General features: G+C 56.0%; 2 annotated features.

Moving 5' to 3' along the window:
* Positions 6,457-6,751: an enhancer, noted in NCBI's record as "tiled region #8665; HepG2 Activating DNase unmatched - State 2:TssF". NCBI's record gives its function as "activates a minimal TATA promoter and a strong SV40 promoter by Sharpr-MPRA in HepG2 cells {active_cell/tissue: HepG2}" and the evidence as "EXISTENCE:reporter gene assay evidence [ECO:0000049][PMID:27701403]".
* Positions 8,750-9,419: an enhancer, noted in NCBI's record as "H3K27ac-H3K4me1 hESC enhancer chr22:39569521-39570190 (GRCh37/hg19 assembly coordinates)". NCBI's record gives its function as "activates a minimal SCP1, AML or CMV promoter by ChIP-STARR-seq in primed H9 embryonic stem cells {active_cell/tissue: H9 hESC(primed)}" and the evidence as "EXISTENCE:reporter gene assay evidence [ECO:0000049][PMID:30033119]".

The following is a 9,931-nucleotide window of genomic DNA, read 5'->3' as shown; positions in this document are numbered from 1 at the left end:
CATGAGTTGGGTTTTCTCTTCCTTTGAACCTAAGAATCCTGAGCAGGGCCTATTGTATAGTGAGGGCCAGGCCTCTTCCTGCATCTCCAGCAACCAGGACGGAGCCAGGGCTCAGCCTAGCATCTGTCCTGACCACAAGCAATGTGTATGTGGAAATATGACCACAAATGTCTCTTTCCTGTCTGTAGCCTCAGAGCCAGAAGCCCACTTAGAGACCTGAAGTCCAATGTGCCCATTTTTCAGGTGGGAACACTGAGGGTCACCACTCTCCACCCCTCTCCTAGTTGGCTGAATGTCTAAGGAACAGGCAGATAGAGAAGGGGCTGAAGGTCCAGCTACGCCCAGAGTCCCCAGCCTCTGACCTGTGGCCAGGCTTTCTGGGGAGACCTCTCTCCTCCTCATACCCCCAGTTCATCCAAGGATGCAGGCTGCATTCTGTATTGCTAAGTCCAGAATGAGCTCAGCCTATGCATGGAATGTAACATCTCTCACTGAAGGACCCTCAGTAGCTCCCGGTTACCTACAGAGTCCAGTTCACACAACTTTGCCTGACACCTTAGGCCCAATCTCCTCTACCTTTCCTCCTCCATTGTCTCTCTCCTCCCTTGCAGCAAGGAGGGGAAACCTGCAGCGACTGTGCAGCCTCTTGTCCCTGCAGAAATGCCTTAGATATCATTTGGCTAAAAAGGAGTGTCACTTTAAATTCACAACCACAAATCTCAGTTTAGTCCTTGGCATTTATTCCAATTAGCTATTTCTGCATAATAAATTAAAGGCTTAAGACAACAATATTTTTTATTATCTTTCCTGAATTCTGTGGGTCATGAACTTGGGAGAGGCTCAGCTGGGTTGTTCAGGGTCTCACAGGTGACAGACAGGTGGTGGCTGGAGCAACTCTCTCTTCAGGTGCTCTGAGAGCCTTTCCATGTGCAGGGGCTGGTTGGGCTTCCTCACAGCATGGAGGCTCAAGGCGCCAGCCTGAGCACTCCATATGGCAGAAGCTTTGATAACCTAGCCTCAAAAGTGATGCATTGTCACTTCCGCTGCAGTCCATTGGTAGCACAGTGAGTCGCAAGCCTGCTTAGGTTCTAGGGGAGGCGAAATTAGACTCTACCTCTTGGTGGAGGAGCGAAAGGTTCTAGAATAACTTGTGGGGCGGGAGATGTTGTTGCAGCCATCTTGGAAAATGCAATCTGCCAGAGTGTTGCTGGGCAATGCCGCTGCATTTCCTGGGTCTACACGCACCGCTCCAAGAGGGCTCTTCCACACCTTCTCCTTACCCCTCAGACCTCCAGGGCCTTGCTGCCTTTTCACTGAGAAAGCAGAAGGGGTCCTGGGGAACCTCCCTGTGCTCACTGTGCACCCCTGCACCCACTGACGCTGCCTCCTGCTGCCACTGTGATGGAGGGCCTGTGTGTCAAGGCGGGTGGACCTATCCCTCCCGCCATGCACACCCCTCTCCTCCTCCCGCAGTGTCCGCTCTTCAGGATCATTCCCCAGGGGAGAATGCTCATTCTTCTTTCTTCTTAAAAAGAACAGCAACCACTGGCTGGGCACAGTGGCTCCAGCCTGTAATCCCAGCACTTTGGGAAGTGGGTGGATCTCCTGAAGTTTCAGGAGTTAGAGACCAGCCTGGCCAACACGGCAAAACCTCGTCTCTACAAAAATACAAAAAATTAGCCAGGCATCATGGCTGGCCCTTGTAATCCCAGTTACTCAGGAGGCTGAGGCAGGAGAATTGCTTGAATCTGGCAAGTGAAGGTTGCAGTGAGCCGAGATTACGCCACTGCACTCCAGCCTGGGCGACAGAGTGAGACTCCGTTTCAAAACAAACAAACAACAACAAAAACCAGCAACCACTAAAAACTGAACCGAAGCAAAAAGAAAACCCTCTCCCTTCACCTCTCCCCTCAAGCTGTCTGCTCCCAGCTCAGCCCTAACATGTGCAGGGCTCGGGCCCAGAGCACAGATGGAGGCCTGCACGCTCTGAGGCTAAATATCAAGATGTTATAAATACGTGAACAAACTGTTAAATCAAGTATGCTTTCTTCCTACTCGCTAAGTAGATCTTCTCAATGAGGGCTGGATTTAGAATTCTCCGGCTCCTGGGACCTGGCTTTTTGGGGAGAGCCAGCCTTGGCCTTGGCCTCGCTCCACAGCACCCCCCTTCTTTTCTGGCCCCCAGCTCTCATCCACACCTTGAATGGCCTGGAGCGCTGGTGCGTGAGCACCCAGACCAAGCTCTGCCCATCACCCTTACCCCCGCAGCAAACAGCCACCTCTTGGTCACCCTTGAGAGGGGCAGCCATCAGGGACAAGGGTGGGGCCCTCGAATCTCTGAGGGGAGAGTTCTTTCTCCTTGCCATTTTTTTTTTTCTTCGAGATGGATTTTCACTCTTGTCTCCCAGGCTGGAGTGCAATGGCGCGATCTCAGCTCACGGCAACCTCCGTCTCCTGGGTTCAAGCGATTCTCCTGCCTCAGCCTCCCCAGTAGCTGGGATTATAGGCATGTGCCACCATGCTCGGATAACTTTTTTGTATTTTTAGTAGAGATGGGGTTTTACCATGTTGGCCAGGCTGGTCTTGAACTTCAGACCTCAGGCGATCCACCTGCCTCGGCCACCCAAAGTGCTGGAATTATAGGCGTGAGCCACCGCGCCCGGCCCTCCTTGCCTTTTAATGTCCTCTCTCCTGTTCTTTTCGCAAGTCTCCTCCCCGTCAGGCTGTCACCTATGGCTCTGTGGGAGCCTCATTTGTGGCTGTTCCATCTGCTGCCTGCAGGCACCTCGGCTGAGGCCCCACCCTCCTGGGCCTCCCTCCTCCCCGATGCTGTTTCTCAGGCTCCCCTGCCGGCCCCCCTCATCTCTAAACGTTGGCGGGGGGTGCCAGGGCTCAATCCTTGGAGCTACTCTTTGTCTACACCCTTCCCCAGGGTGGTCTCATCCGGCTCTAGGGGCTGATCCCCACCCACGAGCCAGTGACGCCCGATGAGTGTCCCCAGCTGGCCCCTGCCTGCTCAGCTTTGCCGGGTGGAAGTCTCGGATTTATCACCGGGCATCACCACCTCGACCTGTCCAGCCTCAGTGCCTGTCTTCCCTGCTCCATCCCACCCCAAACCTGCCATCCCCAGCTGGCCCCATCAGTTTCAGTAGCTCTGTCCTTCCAAGTGCTAGGGCCCAAACCTTGGAATAGGCCTTGACCTTCTCTTTCCTTTACCACCACCCTTCATCAGATAGGCCGTACTGCTGTTGGCTCCGCCTTCTGTTCCTCGCCCTCACCAGGGCTGCTGGCCCAGCCTAGCCCCACCAGCTCCCCTCCTACAGGCTGCTTAAGCCTAAGTCAGATCATGTGTTTCTCTGCTCAGACCCTCCCCGGCTCCTGCTCCGGTCCTCACTCAGAGCCGCAGCTCAGGTGCTTACAAAGGCCTGCAAGGACCTATGGGATTTCACCCTGACTCTGTCTGCTTGGGCCCCCTCTGCTGACAGCCCTCCTCCTGCAGAGCCCAGCCTCAGTGGGCTCACTCCCTCACTTCCTTCAGTCTGTGAGGCCCTCCCTGGTCACCCCACATCAAGCTACCCCCACCTCTGGACCCTGCCCCATCCTTCCGCACAGCACCAACTTCTATTCCCTTTACTCATTGGTTGCTTTCCTGCCCATTTCCCTGCATTTGAATGGAAGCTGCACAGTGCCTAGCGTGTGGATGGTATTCAAGAAGTAGTTGTTGAATTGAATAAATGAATGAGTGAATGAATGGCTGACCATTCCCTGTGTTCTTTCCTGAGGAATGCCCACTTGGCTAAGAATCTCTCTCCACCCGGCACTCCAGACTTGTAGCGAGTTGAAGCTAGCCTATCTTCCCCACGCTATACTTAAACTGAGCTCGTGCAACCAGCGGACCCTCCAACCACCACCGGCCATATTTCCCACCAGGACCACATCCCCTGTCCCCAGCCTCTGTGTGAGCCGTCACCTCCTCCCTGAAGGCCTCCTGATTCATCCATGTCTCCCTCTCTCCGGTGCCCTCCTGAGGGGGCCTCATGACTGGTGACTCTCCCACCCTCCTGATGGACGGTTAACTCGCCAAGGGCTCCGTCTCCTTCATTTCTGTAACCCCGGCACTCAGCAGAGCCTCTGCACACAGCAGGCGCCCACTCAGTGTTTGCTAACTGGAGTTGAACATTTGCCTTAGTTTTATGTTTAGTCTTTTCTGTTGGCCTTATTTTATTTATTTATTTATTTATTTTTGAGACAGGGTCTCACTATGTTGCCCAGGCTGGTCTCAAACTGTCAGGCTCAAGTGATCCTCTTGCCTCAGCCTCCTGAGGAACTGGGATTACAGGTGTGAGCCACCATGCCCAGTGAGTTTATTTTATTTTAGTCATGTTCATTTGTTTTCTAGTTCATCTTTAGTTTGATTTTTACAACATTTATTCTCCTTTTTCTGATTACAAAACGAACGTGCTCATTGCCAAAAACATTGAAAATACACCGTAAATACACAGGAAATAGGAAATTACTCATGATTTGGCTGCGCAGAGATCACTGTGATTAGCATTTGGTGGGTCACTTTGACTTCTTCTCATTGTGCACTTTCCCTTTTAGTAAATCTTACACTGGGACCATTTCTTATGTCCTCACTCTTCTTCAAAGGCCTCGTATTTGATGGCTGCATAATATTCCATTTCGTCATTTTATCATTATTTAATCAAGCGTGCCACACACAGATGATCGTGACACCCCCTGTGCCCATCCTCCTCCACAGACACAACCCCTGGCCACCCCCGCATCTGTAAACACACCCGGCCGTGCCGCAGTGGCCCCTAAGCCTCACAATTGAGGTGATTTCCCAGAGGAGGCTGAACAATGCCCTGGACATGTGGACCCAGCAGGGTGGGGTTCCAGCCTTTTCCTCCTACTGTCCCTCAGACAGACAGAGAGACAGACAGATGGCCAGCCAGCCAGACAGGCAGACAGGACAGGCGGGTGGGACAGGCGGGTGGGACAGGCAGGCGGGACAGGCAGGCAGGAGGCACCAGGGGAAGGCGGAGGCAATAGCGTTGGGGGTGTCTGGCCTTTTGGGGGGGTCAAGTGGTAGGGAGATGGGGTCCTTGGGAGCAGGGCCCTGGCCTGGATGGGAGCTGAACTCTGCAGGGTGAGCCCTAGAGAAGAGCAGGTAACAGGGAGGGACTTCCTCTGCTTAATCCTCTCAAGGGCAGGCAGAAGGAGGTGACTGATGGTCTCAGAACCAAACAGTTGAATTTCAGAATCCTGGGACCACAGAGGACTGATGAGGCTGGCCCCAGGGACCACATCCTCTAACCCTGTGATGATCAAGTGGAGGTGCAGAGGCCCAGGGACTTCTCAGGCCTCCTGACTCCAGCAAAGAGCTGCTCCTGCCTCTCGCTGTGGCCTGGACCAGGTTGCTCTGGTCCCTGTGCCCAGAGCCACCGTGAGCTGTTGAAGTGGGAAATGGGGCCTGCAGTGCAGATGGAGCTGGAGTTCCCAGGACTGGGCAGGGGCTTGGGGTGGTCCTCGAGCCAGCAGGAGAGGGGAGGGAGAGGGTGGGAGGCTAGAGACTGGCAGCCCAGATGCATCCATCCCACTGCAGCCCCTCCTGCCTGTCCCCTCCCGGCCCTGGAAGACCCCTCCAGGCTCCCCAAGGGCAGAGGGCAGCATGGGGAGCGGGCTTGGTCTCCTGCAGAGTGGAGGTCTCTGAAGCCTCCAGCTCCCAGCTTCTCCCCAGACTGCTCTGGGCCTGAAACTAGGGGGCGTTTGCAGAAAAACATGGAAAAGAATTACCCTAGTTTCTGGTGGTTTTGCAGAACAGCAAGTCCCCGGATTCCCGGGTCAGCTTGACCGAGCTAGCTGTGGGATCTTGGACAAGGACCCCTTTCCTCCTAGGACCCCAAAGGCACTCCCAGGGTGAGGGCTCCAGAGCCTGACCGCCCCCAGGCCCTCCCCTCTGAATGTTCGAATCCTGCATACCATGGCTGCGTGGCGGTGGGAACCACTATATCCCACCAGGCCCGGCCCAGTGCGGAGAAGGGATGGGCTCCTGCCCTTAGCCAGAGGCACAGGCTCTGCAGAGAGGCAGTGATGATGCCATAGAGCGTGACAAGGGCAGCAATGCTGGGGTTGCCCAAGGAAGGGATCAAAGTCTCCCATCTTGCAGACAGAGATACTGAGTCCCAGAGAGGGGAAGTGGCTGTCTGGGCACTGGAGACTAGAACCCAGGAGTCTTCTACCTCTCCCCTCTTCCGGCTCTGACCCCGAGAGCTTCCCTGGGGAACGGTAGGTGGGCTAGGGAGCCCCATAAGGTAGAACTGAAAGCAGAAACTCCTCCCCTGTTAACTGACTCCTCCCAGAGCCCCCGAATCTCTGCTTCCAGGGTTGGGGTTCATTTGCTTCTGCGATAGTCTGGGATGGGTGGGACTGGCACAAGATGGGTCCTCTATCACCCCAAGTCCAAGGGGCGCCCCAAGCGGGGTGCTGCTGTGCCGTGTCGGGCCAGCATGGCAGTAGGCCAGGGCCCCCGGCAGCGCCGAGGCAGCTGGACAGGGCGGCCGCCAAGAATGCCAGGAATGCGGAGCCGCCGTGTCCTTCCCGCTCCTCTTCCTCCCCCCCGCCAGCCCAGAACAGGATATTCCCTGTCCAGGGAAACCCAAGTCCGGTCCCTTTATGGGAAAACCATGGGGCATCTGGTGGGCACTGTTCCTGCACTGGGACGGGTGTTCAGCATAGGGGAGCCCTCAGAGACGGGGGCATTGGGTGCTGCTGCGGAGGATGCAGGGGTCTGTGGGGGCTGGCTCTGTGTGGGTTCAGCACATATGAGGGCCTACTATGCGCTAAGGGCTTCATGTGAATTAACTCACTCAGTCTCACATCAACCCTGGGAGCTTCTGCTTTGCAGATCAGGAAACTGAGGCTCACAGAGGCTAAGGAGCTTGACCGAAGGCCCTAGCTAGCAAGCCGCAAAGCCAGTCAGACTCTGATACCCAGACTCTCAGCCATAGGCCAGGTGGCCCCAACTCAACTGTGGCCATGGGGGCATGGCCTGTGCCCTCACATGGCACCTGTGGGGGAAGGGCACGTTGTTCCCAGCTGGTCAGTTTCAAAGGTGGCAAAGGTTTGTCTTAGAGATGCAGAGTCCGGCCCTGCCCCCGGGGCTGTTCTTGCAGATCTCAGCACCATGGAATCCCAGAGTTTGATCAGGATACAGACCATTGGCACCAGGAGGGGCTCCTCTGGACCCTCCCTAATGAGCAGGGGAGGCCGTCACTCTGGAGGTTCAGGGATAAGAGGTGGGGCTCTGAGAAAGCTGAAGGGGGGACACAGGGTAGGGGAGAGAGCGGGGCTAGCTGCACCAACTCCAGCCCTGGGATCCTAGAGGTGCCGCGCCCCGCCCTGGGCTGCACGCCCATCACCTCCCTTCGAGGCCAGCCCACCTCGGCCCTTTGGTTTGGCTACAGGTCTGGGGCATTACCCTAGCAGGGTCAGGTGCAGGCAGAGACGTGGAGACCCTAGCCTTGGATCAGGCCTTGGGCGGGTGGAGAACGGAGAAAATGCAGAGGCACGGGCTGTGCTGCCACCCTCGCAACCCCCGAAACCAGCCCAAAGTGATTGGAGACCAAGGGACCATCTGCACGAGAAATTCTCCCCATTTAGAAATAGGGGAAACTGAGGCACAGGGAGGCCATGTGGCTTGCTCAGAGTCATAGAGCTGTCACGCTGTCACCTAGTGGAGATGTGATTGGAATCCTGGGCTTTCTGTCTCTGGCCCCCACCTGGGGGCCCCTCACGGTTCCTCTCTTCTCCCCTGCTTCCCTAGCCCCCCAAGTCTGGCTGGTTCTATTCCAGTGTGTTGTCCTGTAAGGGCTTCGGGTCCCCCGGGGGGCCAGGGTCAGGTAAACAGGATCCCAGCCGCATTCCCTGACCTTGTTTACCTCCCAAAAGAATGTGAGGGCATTCTTCCCCTTCCCGGGCTGTGAGTCAGCTCCCAGCAATGCGCCGGCTGGCTGCTGGCTGCCCTTCCCCCATGCAACCCCCTCCAGACCCCTGCCCCTTGCCTTCTCACCCGGTGACGTCACTGATGTCACCCCTCCCCATACCCCCATGGAGCCCACCAGGCCTCCAGTTGCCATGGCGACGGCTCACAACAGGAAGCACAGCCCCATCGAGGCCTGCGCTGGGGCAGAAACACAGGAAGCCGCGCTAAGCACTGAGCAGCATTGTCAGCCCCGTAAAAAACAAAACAGGACAAAAAGATTTAATGAGAACAATCAGCCCAAAGAAAAAGGAAAAAAAAAAAAGACCAAAAAAACAAACAAAGCCAAACAGCCTGAAGGCAGGGGGCTGGCAGGGCTCCAAGGACCCCACGTTTTCCCTCCCAACACAATGTAGGCTCAATAATACTTCCTTCTCAGAAGGAGGCTCCCGGGGGTGAGCAGCGGCTGCAGCAGCTCCAAAACTACCCTTGGCTACCCTTGGTAACCCCAACGCAGGTCCAGCTCTATGCCCTCTACTGAAGGCTTTGGGGGACTGGATAGGCTAGTCCTGCCCCCACCTCCCCAAGTATTACCCCTCCTAAGTCCTGCTAGGGGACGTATTCAGTTCAGTGGAAGAAAGAGCACAGGCTCCTGGGTCACCCAGATGGAAAATCTACTCCTGGCCCAGCCGCTGCCTGATGATTGTGAGATTCTGTGTGGGTGGCGATCTCTCTTGCACCTCACTTTCCTCATTGGTTTTGCACCTCACTTTCCTCATTGGTTTTGTAACCATCACTGTCATCAGCATCCGCCTTCACACCTCACAGAGGTGTTGCAAAGCTCAGGCGAGCTGGCACATCAACTAGCACCCAGTAGGTGCTCAATGCGTGCAGAAGGAACTCACAGAGGATGAATGAATGGGGCAGAAATTCCGTGGAGGCAGCTAGCTCAGCTCTGAACTAACTATCAGAGATGGACAAGATGCCCCAGGGGGTATGGGGCTCCCCATCGCTAGACGGGGCAGGCTTGTGAAGGCTTGGTGGGACCTTGTGGAAGGGACTGAGCCCTGGAACAGGGAGGGTGTAGGGGAGGAGCAAAGCTCCCTCCCTCCAGCAGAAGGCTCTGGCCCAGTGGTCCTGTCTGGATAATCCCATTTAGTCTGGTATCTGGTTGATGCCTGCACCGTGACTATGGGAAGAGACCCCACAGTGTCAGTGGGGCAGTTAGTGGTGGGGGGACCCCTGGCTCTTTCTCCATTGCCTGGAGAGAGTAGGGTCCCAGGGCAGAGGAGGCCACCATTCTAGTCCATTTAGGAATGTGACGGATAAGAATGATCCCCGTGGGACAGTGGCAGAGCTGGACTCTGATCACACGGGCAGGTCAGGCCATCCCCTGTCATGTGGATCGGTCCAGCACCTGCTGTTAGCCCAGTGGTTCCTGCCAATGATTGGTGATAGAGCTGGCCTTGCAGGGCCCGGTTGGGGAGTGGGGAACGGGATGCTTAGGCGAGGAGGCTGACTGAGGTTCAGAGCCTGGCTCCAGGTGGTCAGAGAGGCCACCTGGGGGAAATGGGCCAGAAAATGCGGACGGGACTTTGTTGGGTAAGGACAAAAATGGTAGCTGTTCCACTCAAGGGCATAGCAGGAGCACAGGCGTGGCAGTGAGAAAGCCCAGGGTGTTCTGGCCACGGGACCCAGATCTGCACACCTGTAGTCAAAGTTGGTGTCACAAGATAGAGAGATCCCATGGAAAAGAGGCTGGAACCAGATCACAGAGGGTCTTCAGTGTCACTGCCAGGAGTCGGGAGCTGACACCCTAGGCACCGGGGAACTGCTGGGGGCTTTTGACCAGGGTAGTGATATGTGCAGCCGGGTAATTTAGGGTGACGCCTCCGTGTGGATTAGGAGTGGAGGATGCACCAGGAAACAGCATAGGATGGGAGGTCA

This window comes from Homo sapiens, chromosome 22 (genome assembly GCF_000001405.40).
Source record: "Homo sapiens chromosome 22, GRCh38.p14 Primary Assembly".
NCBI lineage: Eukaryota > Metazoa > Chordata > Mammalia > Primates > Hominidae > Homo > Homo sapiens.
The sequence above is the reverse complement of the archived record's forward strand: the minus strand, read 5'-3'. Positions and strand labels throughout refer to the sequence as shown.